Source organism: Homo sapiens, chromosome 13 (genome assembly GCF_000001405.40).
Source record: "Homo sapiens chromosome 13, GRCh38.p14 Primary Assembly".
Lineage (NCBI taxonomy): Eukaryota > Metazoa > Chordata > Mammalia > Primates > Hominidae > Homo > Homo sapiens.
In genome coordinates this window covers 48408107-48429928 of record NC_000013.11, presented here as the reverse complement: position 1 = coordinate 48429928, position 21822 = coordinate 48408107, and the positions used below count along the sequence as shown (strand labels likewise).

Genomic DNA, 21822 nt, shown 5'->3' with positions numbered 1-21822 from the left:
TCAAGTATTCTCTTATGGCCTTTATTAAAGTTTTGTAGTCTTTTGCTTTGTTTTCATCTACATCCTGCACTTTGCCTATTAAGCTTATTCCTAAGGTATTTTGTACTATTTGTTATTGCTGTAAATTGAATATTTTTCATTACATTTTCCAGTTGATTACTGCTGGTACATAAATTGTCTTATTTGAGAGATTGGCACCAGTTAATTTAAAAAGCTAAGCAGGAAATCATTTTAAAATAATATATATAATTCCATATAACATTTTAATTTTAAAAACACAAAAAGTGTATTCATTTGAAAATCTCTTTACGTAAGGTCAAGGTTTTTTGTTTTTTTTTTAGTTCTAAGTTGTTTTTCTTCTATAAACCACACCAATAATGTGGGTTTATGATTTTCACTATGTGCAGGGTGAGGACAGAAAAATGCAAAGGAGTCTGAGGCCTAGAGACACAATCCTTCTACTTTCCGACCTGGGTGGGTTCGCCCCTCCTTGGGCAACCTGGTAGTCCCCTGCTCCCAGGAGGTCACCATATTGATGCAGAACTTAGTGTGGACACCTAATCAGCATAGCGCACAGCCCAGAACTCCTGGGCTCCAGTGATCTTCCCACCTCAGCCTACAGAGTAGCTGGGACTACAGGCATGTGTCACTGCACCTAGCAATCCTTTCTAGTTTCTTACGTTGCCCCCTCATATCTTTTCTACATCTAAGTCTACAATATTTTCTGCAACTTGCCTCTGAGTCATTTCAAAGCACCGAACTTGGTTTGACTAAAACAACCCTTTTTTGCACTTCCATTTTATAACATTACAATAATATGAAAAATCAGCAAATATAAATCAGGGAGTAAACAATGCTTAAACTTTTAATACACACACAATTTCACTACTGGGAGCAAAAGAATTCAGGTATATCAGAGAATAGCTTTATAGCCACAAGCATGCAGCTTCCAGGAGCATCCTGAGAGACCAATCCTTTTTAACTTCTACCCCTCAGTAATAGGTAAAAGATACAAGTCAATAAGTGTTTACTTTAACTGAAGAGTACTTGGATTTCTGATAATAATCTATGCTGGAAGGTGTTAAATTTACTATTCACAGAAAACCCTTGTTCTAATTATTTGAAAGCAGCAGAGATATTTCCTGCTTTTGTATAAAACTTGGCACATTACTATGTACAAATGCAAACTTTTTAAATAAATAAAGATGAAGCTAAAAATGAAGGATGGTCATCATACGATTTTAATCTACAGAAGGATGAAAATGTCTAAAATCTCTTAATCTTAAATTTCTATCATAATGTTAGAATTTAGTGTTTTAAAAAGTCTGCAGAGCTTACTCATTTAAAGACAAAGTTCTTTGCTTAATATTTACCTAAGCTATGGACCAAGTTTCCTATTTTATGTCTGATATGGTTTCAATGTTTGTCCCTTCCAAATCTCGTGTTGAAATGTGATCCCCAATGCTGGAGGTGAGGTTTGGTAGAAGATGACTCGTGTTGAAATGTGCTCCCCAATGCTGGAGGTGAGGTTTGGTAGAAGATGACTCGTGTTGAAATGTGCTCCCCAATGCTGGAGGTGAGGTTTGGTAGAAGATGACTCGTGTTGAAATGTGCTCCCCAATGCTGGAGGTGAGGTTTGGTAGAAGATGACTCGTGTTGAAATGTGCTCCCCAATGCTGGAGGTGAGGTTTGGTAGAAGATGACTCGTGTTGAAATGTGCTCCCCAATGCTGGAGGTGAGGTTTGGTAGAAGATGACTCGTGTTGAAATGTGCTCCCCAATGCTGGAGGTGAGGTTTGGTAGAAGATGACTCGTGTTGAAATGTGCTCCCCAATGCTGGAGGTGAGGTTTGGTAGAAGATGACTCGTGTTGAAATGTGCTCCCCAATGCTGGAGGTGAGGTTTGGTAGAAGATGACTCGTGTTGAAATGTGCTCCCCAGTGCTGGAGGTGAGGTTTGGTAGAAGATGACTCGTGTTGAAGTGTGCTCCCCAGTGCTGGAGGTGAGGTTTGGTAGAAGATGACTCGTGTTGAAGTGTGCTCCCCAGTGCTGGAGGTGAGGTTTGGTAGAAGATGACTCGTGTTGAAGTGTGCTCCCCAGTGCTGGAGGTGAGGTTTGGTAGAAGATGACTCGTGTTGAAGTGTGCTCCCCAGTGCTGGAGGTGAGGTTTGGTAGAAGATGACTCGTGTTGAAGTGTGCTCCCCAATGCTGGAGGTGAGGTTTGGTAGAAGATGACTCGTGTTGAAGTGTGCTCCCCAATGCTGGAGGTGAGGTTTGGTAGAAGATGACTCGTGTTGAAGTGTGCTCCCCAGTGCTGGAGGAGAGGTTTGGTAGAAGATGACTCGTGTTGAAGTGTGCTCCCCAATGCTGGAGGTGAGGTTTGGTAGAAGATGACTCGTGTTGAAGTGTGCTCCCCAATGCTGGAGGTGAGGTTTGGTAGAAGATGACTCGTGTTGAAGTGTGCTCCCCAATGCTGGAGGTGAGGTTTGGTAGAAGATGACTCGTGTTGAAGTGTGCTCCCCAATGCTGGAGGTGAGGTTTGGTAGAAGATGACTCGTGTTGAAGTGTGCTCCCCAATGCTGGAGGTGAGGTTTGGTAGAAGATGACTCGTGTTGAAGTGTGCTCCCCAATGCTGGAGGTGAGGTTTGGTAGAAGATGACTCGTGTTGAAGTGTGCTCCCCAATGCTGGAGGTGAGGTTTGGTAGAAGATGACTCGTGTTGAAGTGTGCTCCCCAATGCTGGAGGTGAGGTTTGGTAGATGACTCGTGTTGAAGTGTGCTCCCCAATGCTGGAGGTGAGGTTTGGTAGAAGATGACTACATCAGGGGGGTGGATCCCTCATGAATGGTTTAGCACCACCCCCTTGGTGATAACCGAGCTCTCGCTCAGTTAGTTCACAAGAGATCTGCTTGTTTAAAAAGGGCATGGGACCTCCTCCTTCCTCTTGCTCCTATTGTCACCACGTGACATGCCTGTTTCCCCTCCGACTTCTGCCATTAATATAAACTTCCTCAGGACTCACCAGAAGCTGAGGAGAAGCTGATGCCATGCTTCCTGTACAGCCTGAAGAACCGTGAGCCAACTAAACCCTACTCTTTTCTTTACAAATTACCCAGTCTCAGGTATTTCTTTACAGCAATGCAAGAACGAACTAGCACAACATCAGTAAGAAAAAAAGGGTGAAAGCTACCTGTTACTACGAGAACATTTGACTAGAAGTCAAGAAACTAGGATTCGAGTTCCTGCTCCAGCAATAATCAGCTATGGTTTTAGTTTCCTAAGTTGTACTTGAGTGACTGGAAGGAGAGCTAAACTATATACCAAAGAAGATGAATGGCTAGTTGTAACAGGGGTAAGGTGGACTTTTATTCTGAATTTCTAGGATCCAGTGCTAGCTCCAACATTAGAGGATATTAAGACTAATGCAATATGCAATGTGTTAACCACCAAGCAAACTAACTTAGAAATATATGTGGTTTTTATAAGCAAAGCCTATGTCTATTTGATTTAAATTGGCTGTACATTAGCAGTGCTAAAAAAGGCATACCAAATGCATCACATGATCACTTCTTTATCTGACAGAGCACAGGCATCCTATCTGGTCAAGAAAACAAAACAAATCTTATTGTTCCATGATTTCCCACAACATAACCTTTATTTCTATAAAGTTAAGATATTATAGGTGATGTCATCTATAATAGTATCTTTTTAGAGGTTTACATTCAGAATATGTTTTCATTTCATTTTATTCTGAAAACTCTTCATAAGGTCAAAAGGGCATGTCATATCCATCTTAAAGTTCAGGGCAGAGTTTGCCCAAGGTAAGGTCAAAATTTAGAAATCAAGGATTCTGGATCTCTAGGTCACAGTGCTTTCTATTATCCTTTATGCATGCACTCACTAAGTTGTATTCTTTCATTATACAAACATGTATAAGGAACTGGGTTGGGTACTTCTTGTGAGGACCCAGTTTTTAGTTTTGACTTCGTCATTCTCCACCAATAATCACTTTGTAATCCTAAGCAAGTCACAACTTCTCTGAATTTTAGTTTCTTGGTCTGTAAAATTGAAACAATAATATATGTTCTTTCTTGTCATTGAAAATTAGTGGGGAGACTGAATTAGATAGAAAGCTAAGAGCTGAAAAGAATTCTATAGGTCTAATTTAATACTCTCCTTTTACAAATATACAATAGAGAAGCTAAATTATTTGCTCAAGGTCATGTCATTTTTTTTTTCCTTTAAGAGTTGAGGACTCTCTATATTGCCCAGGCTAAACTGGAATTCCTGGGCTCAAGAGATCCTCCTACCTCTGCCTCCTGAGTAGGTGGGGCTCAGGAGACGCACATTAATTTTTAGTAACTTGGATTAGAATCCAAGTCACTTAACACCTAGTGAAATTGGTCCTTTCATTACACTTTGCAGCGTCTAAACTAGGTGAAAAATTTTTGAAAGCTACAACCCACCTAGCCTTACCCAACTAAGGTTTTATGACCAAATTCAGCCTTTATGCCACAAGGCATATATTGTATGTGAAGAATTAACATCTTCCAGGAATTCAGAGTAGGACTAGGTTACATAGCATCCTTGAGAGAATGGAGAAAATAGTCACTCAAATAGTTTTCTGTGTTTTTGGATGAGAAAGGCAGCATGACTATATTAATGGGACATTATTACCAGGAATGGCTCTAGCCTTCAAGACCTGAAATTTAAAATTTGTATTCAACTGTAAAGGCTAGCCTTCATTACACATCATCTCCTCAAGAAGCTCTTTACTAAATTCGTAGATTCTCATGTCTATGTGTTACTAATAGCTGTTGTTATATCTTGTATTGCAATTATTTCTTTGTTTTGTATTCTTTTATTTTTCTTTTTTTTTGAGACAGAGTCTTGCTCTGTCACCCAGGCTGGAGTGCAGTGGCATGATCTCCGTCACTGCAACCTCTGCTTCCCAGGTTCAAGTGATTCTCCTGCCTTAGCCTTCTGAGTAGCTGGGATTACAGGTGTGAGCCACCACACCTGGATAACATTTTGTATTTTTAGTAGAGACAGAGTTTCACCATGTTGGCCAGGCTGGTTTCAAACTCCTGACCTCAAGAGGTCTGCCCGCCTTGGCCTCCCAAAGTGCTAGGATTACATGCATGAGCCACCACACATGGCCTTGTTTTTCATTCTTAATTGAATTGCACGTATATGTCTTAAAAGGCAAACTAAGTACTGTGGAAGTACAGAAAAGGAACTGATGAGATTAAGGAGACTCCATAGAAAAGACGTGATATGATTCTAAGAGTTGGAGATGAAGAAGCAACAAGAGAGTTCGGAAAAAAAGATAAGGAAGAAGGGACAACTCAAGTGTATGCACAGATAAATATGCTTATTCAAGTTTTAAATCTTACCACAATAACATTTTCACTCCTCTTGATTTCCTTTCCCTACTTGTTTGAACCTGCTTCAACCATCATTCCCATCAACTTTTACTTTGCTCTAATCATCATTCATCACCCTTTAAATCTTTCCTCTTCTACTCCCATCCAACTCTATAAAAGTTGGTTCAACTCTTTGAACTTGGGTAGATGACTCACATTCCGGTAAAAAGTAACATAAAGTATTAAGTGTTTACAATAATGAAAGGAAGGTAAATCACTTCGAAATGATACCGATAGACTTATGGTAATACTAGTCTAGAATTTAAGATTTTTTCTCCTTAGGCTAAAAGATATTTTTATAGAAAATAAATATATTCTGTCAACATAAATTACAAATGTTCATTTCTCAAATTGAAAAAGGTTTATTTGTTTCTATACCTAAATAGAAAATTTTATCATAATGAGCATCAAAAGAATCCCAAATGAGAAAACTGCTTTTTGCATAAGTGTAAATTAAGAGATGGAAGTCACATTTCACCATGGCAAACATTTGCTGCATGCAAAATGACTGAAGTAAGTTTAGAATAATTCTTTTTAAATTTTAAAATATCAATGTCCCATACTTTTTTCTTTCTTTCTTCAAGAGACAGTGTCTCGTTATGTTGCCCAGGCTGGAGTGCTGTGGCTATTCATAGGTGTCATCAAAGAGCAATGAAGCCCCAAACTCCTATGGCCTTAAGTGATCCTCTTGTCTCAGCCTCTAGAGTAGCTTCGACTACAGGAGTGTACCACTATGCCTGGCTCACACTTTCTTTTGAACTTAAATCAATTTATTTCTGTTTTAAGTCTCACATACTCTCTCATTTGATTTTTTTCTTTTTTCTTTTTGCATATCCCCTGTTCTCAATGTTATGTACAATTTCAATTATGGCCTTCGAAACTTTTAATGAGAGAATTCTTTAAAGTTTTAATCGATTCCTCTTTGATCAATTTTATAGTAAAAGAACACGGTGTCTTATTGTGGAAAAAAATAGGTCTTTTAAAGAAGAATGCTATTGAAACATAAAGGGAAGCCTTTTACAGAATATTTAATCTTATACATGTTTCTTGTGCAACCTGTTTCAAAAATCAGAAATCCTTAAACATAAAGAGTGTAAGGTGACTCCTTGATCTATTATACCTGAGAGTGAAAAAACCCAACCTGCGGAGGTTGCAGTGAGCCGAGATCGCGCCACTGCACTCCAGCCTGGATGACAGAGCAAGACTCCGTCTCAAAAACACAAAAACAAAAACAAAAACAAAAACCCAACCCAGCAGCTTAAGCAGTGAAAGTATTCAAAGAATCAGAATCAGATGTCATTAAATTTTAAAAACCGATGCATTACATAATGAAATTCACTATATTTCATTCTTTTTATTTATTTACTTATTTATTTGAGAACAGGCCTCTCTCTGTCACTCAGGATGGAGTAAAATGGTACAATCATAGCTCAATGCAGCCTCAATCTCCCGGGCCCAAGTGATCCACCCACCTCAGCCTCCCTAGTAACCAGGACTACAGGTGCCCACCACCACACTTGGCTAATTTTTGGAAACAGGGTGTCACTATGTTGCCTAGGCTGGTCTTGAAATCCTGGTCTCAAGTGATCCTCTCATCTCAGCCTCCCAAAGTGTTGGGATTATAGGTGTGAACCACAGATCCTGGCCAAGATTCACTATATTTTGAATTGGTTGTATATGTAGGCTATATTCTTTCCTTTTTGTTTTTTTTTTAGACAAGGTCTTGATCTGTCACCAGGCTGAAGTGCAGTGGTACAATCAAAGCTCACTGCAGTCTCAACCTCCTAGGCTCAAACAATCCTCCCACTTCAGCCTCCCAACCAGCTGGGACCACAGGTTGACATCACCACACCCAGGTAATTTTTAAATTTTTTATGGAGACAGGGTTTCCCTATGTTGCCAAAGCTGATACACTATATTTCAAATCAGTCTACAAGGTCATTATGGCAACAGTCCTAAAAAAAGGCTTGTCTTCACCATTTTTTAAAAGTATTATACTTTAAGTATTGGGATACATGTGCAGAACGTGCAGGTTTGTTACATAGGTATACACGTGCCATGGTGGTTTGCTGCACCCATCAACCCATCATCTATGTTAAGTATTTCTCTTAATGCTATCCCTCCTCTAACCCCCAACCCCGACAGGCCCCGATGTGTGATGTTCCCCTCCCTGTGTCCATGTGTTCTCATTGTTCAGTTCCCACTTATGAGTGAGAACATGCGGTGTTTGGTTTTCTGTTCCTGTGTTAGTTTGCTGAAAGTGATGGTTTCCAGCTTCATCCATGTCCCTGCAAAGGACATGAACTCATCCTTGTTCATGGCTGCATAGTATTCGATGGTATATATGTGCCACATTTTCTTTATCCTGTCTATCATTGATGCGCATTTGGGTGGGTTCCAAGTCTTTGCTATTGTAAATACTGCTGCAATAAGCATATGTGTGCATGTGTCTTTATATTAGAATTATTTATAATCCTTTGGGTATATACCCAGTAATGGGCTTGCTGGGTCAAATGGTATTTCTGGTTCTAGATCCTTGAGGAATCGCCACACTGTCTTCCACAATGGTTGAACTAATTTACACTCCCACCAACAGTGTAAAAGCATTCCTATTCTCCACATCCTCTCCAGCATCTGTTGTTTCCTGACGTTTTAATAATCGCCATTCTAACGGCCATGAGATGGTATCTCATTGTGGTTTTGATTTGCATTTCATTAATGACCGCTGATGATGAGCTTTTGTTCATATGCTTGTTGGCCACATAAATGTCTTCTTTTGAGAAGTGTCAGTTCATATCCTTCACCCACTTTTTGATGGAGTTGTTTGCTTTTTTCCTGTAAATTTGTTTAAGTTCCTTGTAGATTCTGGACTTTAGCCCTTTGTCAGATGGATAGATCGCAAAAATTTTCTCCCATTCTGTAGGTTGCCTGTTCACTCTGATGATAGTTTCTTTTGCTGTGCAGAAGCTCTTTAGTTTAATTAGATCCCATTTGTCAATTTTGGCTTTTGTTACCATTGCTTTTGGTGTTTTGGTCAGGAAGTCTTTGCCCATGCCTATGTCCTGAATGGTATTGCCTAGGTTTTCTTCTAGGGTTTTCATGGCTTTAGGTCTTACATTTAACTCTTTAATCCATCTTGAGTTAATTTTTGTATAAGGTGTAAGAAAGGGGTCCAGTTTCAGTTTTCTGCACATGGCTAGCCAGTTTTCCCAACACCATTTATTAAACGGAATCCTTTGTCTCATCTTTGTCAAAGATGAGATGGTTGTAGATGTGTGGCATTATTTCTGAGGCCTCTCTTCTGTTCCATTGGTCAATATATCTGTTTTGGTACCAATACCATGCTGTTTTGGTTATTGTAGCCTTGTAGTATAGTTTGAAGTCAGGTAGCATGATGCCTCCAGCTTTCTTCTTTTTGCTTAGGATTGTCTTGGCTATATGGGCTTTTTTGGTTCCATATGAAATTTAAAGTAGTTTTTTCTAATTTTATAAAGGAAGTCAATGGTAGCTCGATAGGGATAGCATTGAATCTATAAATTACTTTGAGTGGTATGGCCATTTTCACAAGATTGATTCTTCCTATCCATGAACATGGAATGTTCTTCCATTTGTTTGTGTCCTCTTTATTTCCTTGAGCAGTGAAGTTTGTAGTTCTTGAAGATGTCCTTCACATCCCTTGTGTGTTGTATGCCTAGGTATTTTATTCTCTTTGTAGCATTTGTGAATGGGAGTTCACTCATGATTTGGCTCTCTGTTTGTCTATTATTGTTGTATAGGAATACTTGTGATTTCTGCACATTAATTTTGTATCCTGAGACTTTGCTGAAGTTGCTTATCAGCTTAAGGAGATTTTGGGCTGAGATAATGGGGTTTTCTAAATAGACAATCATTGTCTCTGCAAACAGAGACAATTTAATTTCCTCTCTTCCTACTTGAATACGCTTTATTTCTTCCTCTTTTCTAACTGCCCTGAACAGAACTTCCAATACTATGTTGAATAGGAGTGGTGAGAGAGGGCATCCTTGTCTTGTGCCAGTTTTCAAAGGGAATGCTTCCAGCTTTTGCTGATTCAGTATGATATTGGCTGTGGGTCTGCCATAAATAGCTCTTATTATTTTGAGATACATTCCATCAATATGAAGTTTATTGAGAGTTTTTAGCATGAAGCAGTGTTGAATTTCATCAATGGCCTTTTCTGCATCTATTGACATAATCATGTGGTTTTTATCTTTGGTTCTGTTTATGTGATGGATTACGTTTATTGATTTGCATATGTTGAACCAGCCTTGCATCCCAGGGATGAAGCCGACTTGTTTGTGGTGGATAAGCTTTTTGATGTGCTATGGATTCAGTTTGCCAGTATTTTATTGAGGGTTTTCACGTCGATATTCATCAAGGATATTGGCCGAAATTTTCTTTTTTTGTTGTGTCTCTGGCAGGTTATGGTATCAGGATGATTCTTGGCTTATAAAATGAGTTAAGGAGGACTCTCTTTTCTTCTATTGCTTGGAATAGTTTCAGAAGGAATAGTACCAGCTCCTCCTTGTACCTCTGGCAGAATTCAGCTGTGAATCCATCTGCTCCTGGGATTTTTTTGGTTGGTACGCTATTAATTACTGCCTCAATTTCAGAACTTGTTATTGGTCTATTCAGGGATTCGACTTCTTCCTGGTTTACTCTTGGGAGGGTGTATGTGTCCAGGAATTTATCCATTTCTTCTAGATTTTCTAGATTATTTGCATAGAGATGTTTACAGTATTCTCTGATGGTAGTTTGTATTTCTGTGGGATCAGTGGTGATATCCCCTTTAGCATTTTTTTATTGTGTCTATTTGATTCTTCTCTCTTTTCTTCTTTATTAGCCTGGCTAGTGGTCTATCTATTTTGTTAATCTTTTCAAAAAACCAGCTCCTGGATTCATTGATTTTTTGAAGGGTTTTTCGTGTTTCTCTCTCCTTCAGTTCTTCTCTGACCTTGGTTATTTCTTATCTTCTGCTAGCTTTTGAATTAGTTTGCTCTTGCTTCTCTAGTTCTTTTAATTGTGATGTTAGGGTGTCAATTTTACATCTTTTCTGCTTTCTCCTGTGGGCATTTAGTGCTATAAACTTCCCTCTAAACATTGCTTTAGCTGTGTCCCAGAGATTTGGGTATGTTGTGTCTTGGTTCTCATTGGTTTCAAAGAACTTCTTTGTTTCTGCCTTAATTTCATTATTTTCCCAGTATTCATTCAGGAACAGGTTGTTCAGTTTCCATGCAGTTGTGCAGGTTTGAGTGAGTTTCTTAATCCTGAGTTCTAATTTGATTGCACTGAGGTCTCAGAGACTGTGTTATGATTTCCATTGTTTTGCATTTGTTGAGGAGTGTTTTACTCCCAATCATGTGGTTAGTTTTAGAATAAGTGTGATGTGGTGCTAAGAAGAATGTCTATTCTGTTGATTTGGGGTGGAGAGTTCTGTAGATGTCTATTAGGTCTGCTTGGTGCAGAGCTGAGTTCAAGTCCTGAATATCCTTGTTAATTTTCTGTCTCATTGATCTGTCAAATATTGACAGTGGGGTGTTAAAGTCTCCCACTATTATTGTGTGGGAGTCTAAGTCTCTTTGTAGGTCTCCAAGGACTTGCTTTATGAATCTGGGTGCTCCTGTATTGGGTGCATACATACTTAGGATAGTTAGCTCTTCTTGTTGCATTGATCCCTTTACCATTATGTAATGCCCTTCTTGTCTTTTTTGATCTTCGTTGGTTTAAAGTCTGTTTTATCAGAGACTAGGATTGCAACCCCTGCTTTTTTTTTTTTTTGCTTTCCATTTGCTTGGTAAATCTTCCTCCATTCCCTTATTTAGAGCACGTGTCTTTGCATGTGAGATGAGTCTCCTGAATACAGCACACTGATGGGTCTTGACTCTTTATCCAACTTGCCAGTCTGTGTCTTTTAATTGTGGCACTTAGCCCGTTTACTTTTAAGGTTAATATTGTTATATGTGAATCTGATCCTGTCATTATGATGCTAGCCAGTTAGTTTGCCCATTAGTTGATGCCCATTAGTTTCTTCATAGTGTCAATGGTCTTTACAATTTGGTATGTTTTTGCAGTGGCTGGGACCAATTTTTCCTTTCCATATTTAGTGCTTCCTTCAGGAGCTCTTGTAATGCAGGCCTGGTGGTGACAAAATCTCTCAACATTTGCTTATCTGTGAAGGATTTTATTTCTCATTCACTTATGAAGCTTAGTTTGGCTGGATACAAAATTCTGGGTTGAAAATTCCTTTCTTTAAGAATGTTGAATATTGGCCCCCACTCTTTTCTGGCCTGTAGGGTTTCTGCAGAGAGATCCACTATTAGTCTGATGGGCTTCCCTTTGTAGGTAACCCGACCTTTCTCTCTGGCTGCTTTTAACATTTTTTCCTTCATTTCAACCTTGGTGAATCTGACGATTATGTGTCTTGGGGTTGCTCTTCTTGAGGAGTATCTTTGTGGTGTTCTCTGTATTTCCTGAATTGGAATGTTGGCCTGTCGTGCTAGGTTGGGGAAATTCTCCTGGATAATATCCTGAAGAGTGTTTTCCAACTTGGTTCAATTCTCCCTGTCACTTTCAGGTACAGGGACAATCAAACATAGGTTTGGTCTTTTCACATAGTCCCCTATTTCTTGGAGGCTTTGTTCGTTTCTTTTCATTCTTTTTCCTCTAATCTTGTCTTCACACTTTATTTCATAAAGGTGATCTTCAATCTCTGATATCCTTTCTTCTGCTTTGGCTGTTGATACTTGTGTATGCTTCACGAAGTTCTTGTGCTGTGTTTTTCAGCTCCATCAGGTCATTTATGTTCTTCTCTAAACTGCTTATTTTAGGTAGCAATTCCTCTAACCTTTTTTCAAGGTTTTTAGCTTCCTTGCATTGGGTTAGAACATGGTCCTTTGGCTTGGAGGAGTTTATTATTCTCTGTCCAGTTTTGTTCCCTTGCTGGCGAGGAGTTGTGATTCTTTGGAAGAGAAAAGGCATTCTGGTTTTTGGAATTGTCAGCCTTTTTGCGCTGGTTTTTCCTCATCTTCATGGATTTATCTACCTTTGGTCTTCGATGTTGGTGACCTTCAAATGGGGTTTCTGTGTGGAAGTCCTTTTTGTTGATATTGATGCTATTCATTTCTGTTTGTTAGTTCTCCTTCTAACAGTCAGGCCCCTCTGCTGCAGGTCTGCTGGAATTTGCTGGAGGTCCACTCCAGACCCTGTTTGTCTGGATATCACCAGCAGAGGTTGCAGAACAACAAAGATTGCTGCCTGTTCCTTCCTCTGGAAGCTTTGTCCCAGAGGGGCACCCACCAGACGGCAGCTGGAGCTCTCCTGTGTGAGTTGTCTGTCGATTCCTGCTGGGAGGTGTTTCCCAGTCAGGAGACATGGGGGTCAGAGACCCACTTGAGGAGGCAGTCTGTCCCTTAGCAGAGCTCGAGCAATGTCCTGGGAGATCTGCTGCTCTCTTCAGAGCCAGCAGGCAGGAACGTTTAAGTCTGCTGAAGCTGCACCAATAGCCACCCATAGCACCCTTCCCCCAGGTGCTCTGTCCCAGGGAGATGGCAGTTTTATCTATAAGCCCCTGACTGGGGCTGCTGCCTTTTTTTCAGAGATGCCCTGCCCAGAGAGGAGGACTCTAGAGAAGCAGTTGGGCTACAGTGGGCTCCACCCAGTTCAAACTTCCCGGTGGCTTTGCTTACACTGTGAGGTGAAAACCACCTACTCAAGCCTCAGTAATGGCAGAAGCCCCTCCTCCCACCAAGCTCCAGCATCCCAGGTCGACTTCAGACTCCTGTGCTGGCAGTAAGAGTTTCAAGCCAGTGGATCTTAGCTTGCTGGGCTCTGTGGGGGTGGGATCCACTGAGCTAGACCACTTGGCTCCCTGGCTTCAGCCCCTGTTCCAGGGGAGTTAACAGTTCTGTCTCACTGGTGTTTCAGGTGCCACTGGAGTACGAAAAAGAAAAAATCCTGCAGCTAGCTCGGTGTCTGCCCAAACGGCTGCCCAGTTTTGTGCTTGAAACCCAGGGCCTGGGTGGTGTAGGCACCCGAGGGAATTGCCTGGTCTAAGGGTTGTGAAGATCACGGAAAAGGCATAGAGTCTGGGCCGGAATGCATCGTTCCTCGTGGCACATTCCCTCATGGCTTCCCTTAGCTAGGGGAGGAAGTTCCCTGGCCCCTTGCACTTCCCGTGTAAGGCGATGCCCCACCCTGCTTTGGCTCGCCTTCCATGGGCTGCACCCCCTGTCTGACCAGTCTCAATGAGATGAGCTGGGTACCTCAGTTGGAAATAGAGAAATCACCCACCTTCTGCGTTGATTTCGCTGGGAGCTGCAGACTCCAGCTGTTCCTGTGTTCACCATTTTAACATCTATCTGGCTCTGTTTAATTTTCGCTCCCCCCAAAAAATCCATATAAGAAATAAGTTGATTCTCAGAGTTAAGTTCCAGAAGTGTAGAGATCTCACATTAAAATAACAGTTTGCCTGAGTTTATCAAATACAAAAGTATCTATTAAATATAATTGATTATATGGATTCATTACCTCCCTTTGCAAGTAGTTACTCTGTATTTTTCCAATTCTAACCTAAGAATTTTTCAAAGTTTCTAAATTCCCCTTTGGTTCCTTAATTAGAGGCCAAATTTAATATCTGGAAAAAATGCAGTATTCAATTATCTTCTTCCTGTTCAAACAGTCCCTCTGCTATGGCTCTTCCTCAGTAGAAACAACTGGCAACAAAATTCAAGTTTATGATTCATTCATCAGCAAACATGTGAGAATCATCTACAAAGAACCAAGAATTGTGGTAAGAATTATACAAACATTTACTATGATACTGATAATAATGAAAAGCCTAATTCAACAAATAGTGATCTATCCATTTTTAAGCCCCAGTAACTCAAACATTAAAAAACTATAAATGAACAGGCCGGGCACGGTGGCTCACACATGGAATCCCAGCACTTGGGGAGGCTGAAGTGGGTGGATGACTTGAGGTCAGGAGTTCAAGACCAGCCTGGCCACATGGTAAAACCCTATCTCTACTAAAAATACAAAAATTAGCTGGGTGTGGTGGCGGGTGCCCATAATCCCAGCTACTCGGGAGGCTGAGGTGGGAAAATTGCTGGAACCTGGGAGGCAGAGGTTGCAGTAAGACAAGATCGCACCACTGCACTCCAGCCTGGGCGGCAGAGTGAGAAAAAAAAAAGAAAGAAAGAAAAAGAAAAAGAAAAGAAAAGAAAAAACTATAGATGAATGACTTAAGTGAATAACAAGTCAAGTGAGTAATGACAATATGTAGAAAAATATTCCAAGTAGAATTAATAAATTTTAATTATTTGAATGAGAAAATGCCGCCATATTCAAAATGAAAGTAAAAGTAGGATGAGATCAGCATATACAACTGCATATATTTCATTAATTAAAGATGACTAAAGAGGAGACTATCAATTTGAAAGAAGATTACTAAGATTTTGTTTTTTTAAAACATACTGAACCAAATAAAAAAAAAATAACAGTAAGACATAACTACTAACAGAAAATTTTTTCCAATGAGAATACAAGCTTATTAACCACTCCTTTTTTCATTAATGCTCACTCAGCTTCTACCAGCCTTCTAATAAGAACACACACATACATCTTTTCTATACCAAATGTGATATAAAAGATATTCAACCCTTCAAAATTTTAAGTATTGGTTATAAGTAATACTCATCTTTTTTTGTCATTTGATAATAGATGAATTTTCTAGTCCAGACAGTAGAAATAGATTATAGTTCATCAACAAATGACAAAAATTGCTGAGTGTGAAAGAATGGTGCAAAACAACACAAAACATTTTACTGTAATAAGTTATTTTTAAGCTAGCTAAGTAATTTATGAGAAAAAAATAAATTGTTCTTAAATTACTTAATACCCAAGAGGAAGAGTTTCAGCTTAAACTAGACCAAATTAAAAAAATAATAACAGTAAGGCATAACTAGATCTAGCCTTTTCTGAAGAAAATGATATTTAAAACAAGAAAAACATGTGCCATAGAGGTTGTGATATCCTCAATCTTTGAGGAAATAACACCTACATTTAAGTACCCTCACCTTACACACACTTTCTTCTTCTGATTTTGGAGTCTTTAAAATATAAGTATACTTTTTTTTTTTTTTTTTGAGATAGTCTCGCTGTCGCCCAGGCTGGAGTGCAGTGGCTTGATCTTGGTTCACTGCAACATCTGCCTCCCAGGTTCAAGCGATTCTCCTGCCTCAGTCTCCTGGGTAGCTGGGACTACAGGCACGCACTATTGCCCTAGGCTAGTTTTGTATTTTTGGTAGAGATGGGGTTTCGCCATTTTGGCCAGGCTGCTCTCAAACTCCTGATCTCAGGTGATCCACCTGCCTCGGCCTTCCAAAGTGCTGGGATTATAGGCGTGAGCCACTGCACCTGGCCCAAAATATGAGTATACTTTAAATATAAACATATAAACCATTCATAGAAACTTTTAGATGGAGACAAAATCTGAAATATATTTCAATATATAGTTAATGTCATATTAAGGGGTTAAGGGAAGAGCTGGGAGGAAGAAGGAAGATAAGACTATGAACCTAAAATTTTGCCAAGTAGTAGGATTTTTATTCTCTAAACCTTATTTCAATCAATTTAAGGTTAAAAAAATTTTGCTTAAAAAGATGCAATTTCATTTTGTGCTTAGAAAGTAAAATTAACACCACACCAAAGATAAACATTCTTGAGTTTGTTCTTTTGGAGAAATGAGTAATTTAAAAATTTAAACAGCTCTAAAATATTAATACAACTGCATAGGAAAGAGGAAAGAATGTTAGAAAATTGCTTATCAAAAACTAATGAGACCCAGGATAAGAGCTACTCATAATGATAACAATTAAATATTGAGTATTTTTCAGAAACCAAGAGTCAAATGCTTGTTATACCTTAAAGGTTAAAGGCCCCTGTTTCATAGTCATTAAACAGTTCTTTGAAATGCTATGTTAAGATATCACTAACAATTTCAATTTATAAATACACACCCATACACATTTTCTTTTCTAAATTGTCATATCCCAAACACGAAAACAATCGAATAAGAGAACAGGCTGAATAGTGATTTTTTTCTTTCAATTATTACTACTGAAACAAATCAAAACAACTCTGAGAGGTTGCCAGCACCGCAGAAGGCATTTCCACATAAAAAGAGTTAATGAGCAGACCACGCAGTTCAACAGCCAGTGACCATTTGCAAGCCTCCTAGGTATATTCCCAGCAGACACATTATCAGATTAAAGGAAGTGCAAACAAACTGGGCTGAAAGTTTCTTTGTCCAAACCCAGCCTCTTCTTCCTGTGATGTCATATTACAAATCTAGGAAGCCTTTCTTTTTCACTTCAGAGAAAGCGACCTCAAGATACAACTGGCAACTGAGGAAAAGGCCTCAATTCAACAAGAGCTAACAAGCTTGGGAGTTTATTTCGGAATCTTTAAAAGACTCTTCTGCTTACCCACAATCTGGGATCCACTGCAGGAAAACAAAAAAGGAAAACTTCATTTAAAAGAAGCAAGAAGTAAAATGGGACAAATTGGGAATGTTTAAGTCTCTGAAACTCTGCACTGAAAAGAAAATAAGATTGATAACTTAAGCTTAACATTCTGAGGCATAAAGAAACATTAACTTTGGAGTATTCATCTTGACTACTGAAATACAAGTTTAGAAGACAAGTGGTTTCATTCTGGTCACAGATCACAGCTTTTCTTTAAATTTATAATCCTATGGGTTGGACTCGTTGACTGTATTTTTTAAAGGTTGCTCGTCAGTTAACTGAGCCTTGGAATTCATGGATTTTCTAAAGACTAACAAATGAAAATATTTTCCTGTTGAAGAACCCAGCGGAAATTTTACAGCAACAAATTTCATGTTTCTTTTGGGTATTTCTGAGAAAAAGGAAATATTTATAAAACCATCCAAAGATCCAGATAATTTGCAAATAAATTGGAGGTTATAGAGGTTATAATCTGAATCCCAAAGGAGACTGCAGCTGATGAAAGTGCTTCCAAACTGAAAATTGGACGTGCCTTTACGATGGTAAGCGTTAACAGCTCCCACTGCTTCTATAATGACTCCTTTAAGTACACTTTGTATGGGTGCATGTTCAGCATGGTGTTTGTGCTTGGGTTAATATCCAATTGTGTTGCCATATACATTTTCATCTGCGTCCTCAAAGTCCGAAATGAAACTACAACTTACATGATTAACTTGGCAATGTCAGACTTGCTTTTTGTTTTTACTTTACCCTTCAGGATTTTTTACTTCACAACACGGAATTGGCCATTTGGAGATTTACTTTGTAAGATTTCTGTGATGCTGTTTTATACCAACATGTACGGAAGCATTCTGTTCTTAACCTGTATTAGTGTAGATCGATTTCTGGCAATTGTCTACCCATTTAAGTCAAAGACTCTAAGAACCAAAAGAAATGCAAAGATTGTTTGCACTGGCGTGTGGTTAACTGTGATCGGAGGAAGTGCACCCGCCGTTTTTGTTCAGTCTACCCACTCTCAGGGTAACAATGCCTCAGAAGCCTGCTTTGAAAATTTTCCAGAAGCCACATGGAAAACATATCTCTCAAGGATTGTAATTTTCATCGAAATAGTGGGATTTTTTATTCCTCTAATTTTAAATGTAACTTGTTCTAGTATGGTGCTAAAAACTTTAACCAAACCTGTTACATTAAGTAGAAGCAAAATAAACAAAACTAAGGTTTTAAAAATGATTTTTGTACATTTGATCATATTCTGTTTCTGTTTTGTTCCTTACAATATCAATCTTATTTTATATTCTCTTGTGAGAACACAAACATTTGTTAATTGCTCAGTAGTGGCAGCAGTAAGGACAATGTACCCAATCACTCTCTGTATTGCTGTTTCCAACTGTTGTTTTGACCCTATAGTTTACTACTTTACATCGGACACAATTCAGAATTCAATAAAAATGAAAAACTGGTCTGTCAGGAGAAGTGACTTCAGATTCTCTGAAGTTCATGGTGCAGAGAATTTTATTCAGCATAACCTACAGACCTTAAAAAGTAAGATATTTGACAATGAATCTGCTGCCTGAAATAAAACCATTAGGACTCACTGGGACAGAACTTTCAAGTTCCTTCAACTGTGAAAAGTGTCTTTTTGGACAAACTATTTTTCCACCTCCAAAAGAAATTAACACATGGACATTTTAAAGTCTTTAGTATAAAGAAAATTTGTATTCAATGTGTTAAGCATTAACATGTATTTTATTTGTGTATCCACTCCATCTGATTTTTCTGAGCCATTTTGATTTGTTCCTTCATTAAAAAAAATCTCTTAAAGTTATTTAGTGTCTAAAAGTGACTGACTTAAATTATGTGGTGCCAATCTGTAATGTCTTTGAATTCCTTTTTATATTAAATGATTTAATTTACTAAATTATTTTATACTAATTTATGTTTATGTAATATTTTATTCAACATACCATTTTTATTTTGAATTAAAACTACTAATCATATTTCTTAAACTATGATTAACAAATGAGAAAGAAGAGTAATTTGAAATAAATGTTTTGGGAGTATTTTAAAATATATGTATAACTAAAAACGTAGTCTTCTGTAGAAATGATGACATATTAACATTGTTGGAAGATCTTGAGCAGTAACACATTGATAACATTTTGGGAGTTTGGTCTGTGTAGGCAATTTGTAGAAAGCAGATGCTATCTATATGGTATGCTTTGAAGTTACTATTTTGATTTTCTGTATATAATGCACCCAATTTCAAAATGATATATGCCACAAAAATTGAGAGGGAGAAAACTAATAAAATGTCATTTTGCTAAGTTTTTACTTAGCAAAAAAATAAAATACTACCAGAGGTACATTTTAAAGGTGCACTTACATCACAGTCAAGAACTTATGTTTTAAGTATGTTAGGTCGGAGAAACATCAGAGATAGTGAAATATAGTACTTGGCATTTAGAAAGTAATATACTGTCACGTGTTGCTTATGATGCTTGCTTAGGTAATTATGTCGTGCAAACATCACAGTGTGTACTTACACAACTCTAGAAGGTATACACTATTACACACCTAGGCTTATATGGTACACCCTACTGCTTCTAGGCTACAAACCTATACAGCATGCTACTGCAAAGAATACTGTAGGCAACTGTAAAATAATGGTACTTGTGTATCTAAATACATCTCAACACAGAAAAGGTACAGTAAAAATATAGTATGATAATCTTATGAGACCACCATCGTTTATGCGGTCATTGACCAAAATGCTATTACGTGATGCATGACTGTAAATATTTTCTTTTCCTTCACTCTTCTGGCCATTTTAAGCCAAATATTGGGAAGTTCAAAACATTATTTCAAGTAGGCAAGATGTTATTGTACGTCAAAATGATTAATTAAGGACACAGTTCCTTACATTATAAAGTAACAAAACTACAAGGCCAAATAACTAAACAAAACTATATTTTCATTTCACTAAACATAAAATAGGTCTGGCTCTGAGGTATACTTTAGAAAAAAAGTACCAAGTACACTAAAACTTTTTTATTATCCAACATATTCCTTTTTTAAAAAAATTCAGGCCGGGCACGGTGGTTCACACCTGTAATCCTAGCACTTTGGGTGGCTGAGGCGGGTGGATCATAAGGTCAAGAGATCAAGACCCTCCTGGCCAACATGGTGAAACCCCGTCTCTACTAAAAATACAAAAATTAGCTGGGTGTGGTGGCACATGCCTGTAGTCCCAGCTACTCGGGAGGCAGAGGCAGGAGAATCGCTTGAACCCAGGAGTCAGAGGTTGCAGTGAGCCAAGATCTCGCCACTGCACTCCAGCCGGGCGACAGAGCGAGACTCCATCTCAAAAAAAAAAAAAAAAAAAAAAAAAAAAATCAAGCAGTTCTCCAAAGTTAACTAAAAAAGAATGCCTTCTATTTAAGGAAAAGGACATGTAATTAAATTCAGCATCCAACCTATCTGATTTCTACTGTCTTAATCTTTCAAGTCCTCAATACAACTTGGACAAAAAACTCTTTTAAGACATAAATTTGATTTTTGCTGTTCTCTGGGTTTGAGGTGTAATGATTTCAGAAAAATCACAATCATTTGCTAGACAGGTAAACCCATTTTCAATAAAATAACAGTGGGGGGTTTTCTTTAGGGATCCATGGTTTCCTTTAGATAAACCTAAAGCAAAATACATCTTTAATGCCTTCAGCCCAGGAGTTCCAAGTTAGAGTGAGATATGATCACACCACTGTACTCCAGCATGGACAACAGAGCAAGATCCTATCTCAAAAAAAAAAAAAAAAGAGAAAAGAAAAAAAACCCAAAAAACTAGTGAAGATACTAACCATGGTCCTTTATATCCCAAGAGAAATATATACATAATATAAATGTGTTTTCTTCCATTGACCTGAAATTCCTTTATTTGATATTACACTTCAGTAAATAAAAATACACTCTTTCTTAAACATACTGAGTTGAGAAGCAACTACCAATCTACTGATCTGGGGGAAAGGGGTGGAGAATTGTATAACTTTGAGATTTCTCAGAACTCTCCTCAGCTTAAAGATCTCAACTTAAGGCAAGATCATAAAACATGAATATAACTTTAAAATGCAAATAAAACAGTCATTAAATAGTTGTTATTACTATGTTCATAAAGAAACTTTTTGGTGTCTCTTGTCAACAGGAAGATAAATGAATCAAAAGTTTTGTAAGATTCTTCATAAAGCAATACATAACAGATAACAAACATGGTTTTCTCATCTAGAACTATGGAAAAAAAGTGTACCAGAACAAAATTTATTTTCCTTTGCTAGTGTTGTACTTTGTGGTAAGTCATATATTCTGAGGGTTTTCTCTTCCCTTCCCCCTTTATTCAGAAAAACCTATATTAATATTAGAACTCTGATGATTTTACTTTTGATTACCTGAAAATGATAGCACTAAGCCCCCCTATAAAAACTGTGCCCACTGTTATTAACATTTTCATAAAACGGTAGATGATTTGACTAATCTTCCTTCCCACATTAACTCCCTTCAAAGGAACACAGTAAGCTGAGAAAATTTTTCAGGTGTGGAAAAATGGCTTTCCAGCATCCTAATAATTTCTGAACTTAGAAATCATCTTTACTGAGAAAATATCAAGTACCTAGTTTATTTTAAAAAGCATAAAAATATATGTATTATATATATTATATTCACAGAAAATTAAACTGAAGACACTACTTAAGGAGCTATCAATGAACCTTAATATTCTACATTCAAAATGCTGAAAAGTAAATTGGAAATAGAAATCTTAATTATAGATATTGGTATTTAAAGAAATTAGTCACTAAATTGAGAAATAT

At 38.0% G+C, this 21822-nt stretch overlaps 2 protein-coding genes across 13 annotated transcripts in view, besides 1 other annotated feature; one reads left to right on the top strand and one right to left on the bottom strand.

Annotated features, from left to right (window-relative positions):
- The window catches only part of RB1 (RB transcriptional corepressor 1), a 178140-nt gene that overhangs the window by 51962 nt on the left and 104356 nt on the right, over positions 1 to 21822 (bottom strand). The gene's annotated exons all lie outside the window — the stretch shown is intronic.
- LPAR6 (lysophosphatidic acid receptor 6) overlaps positions 1 to 21822 on the top strand; it is a 55099-nt gene that overhangs the window by 14741 nt on the left and 18536 nt on the right. For 2 of the 11 annotated variants that reach the window (XM_047430019.1, XM_047430020.1), the window contains 4 exons: positions 3134 to 3349; positions 5810 to 5936; positions 14119 to 14229; positions 16818 to 18791. In XM_047430019.1, coding sequence (XP_047285975.1) covers positions 17506 to 18540 — 1035 coding nt within the window. In that variant the 5' untranslated portion in view covers positions 3134 to 3349; positions 5810 to 5936; positions 14119 to 14229; positions 16818 to 17505 and the 3' untranslated portion in view covers positions 18541 to 18791. Of the gene's footprint in view, positions 1 to 3020; positions 3350 to 5809; positions 5937 to 7138; positions 7280 to 12608; positions 12763 to 13356; positions 13617 to 14118; positions 14230 to 16815; positions 18792 to 21822 lie in introns of those variants that run through there. The other 9 variants (XM_047430021.1, XM_047430022.1, NM_005767.7 and 6 more) reach the window with 8 other exon arrangements.
- Positions 17831 to 18332: an enhancer, noted in NCBI's record as "H3K27ac hESC enhancer chr13:48985733-48986234 (GRCh37/hg19 assembly coordinates)". NCBI's record gives its function as "activates a minimal SCP1, AML or CMV promoter by ChIP-STARR-seq in naive H9 embryonic stem cells {active_cell/tissue: H9 hESC(naive)}" and the evidence as "EXISTENCE:reporter gene assay evidence [ECO:0000049][PMID:30033119]".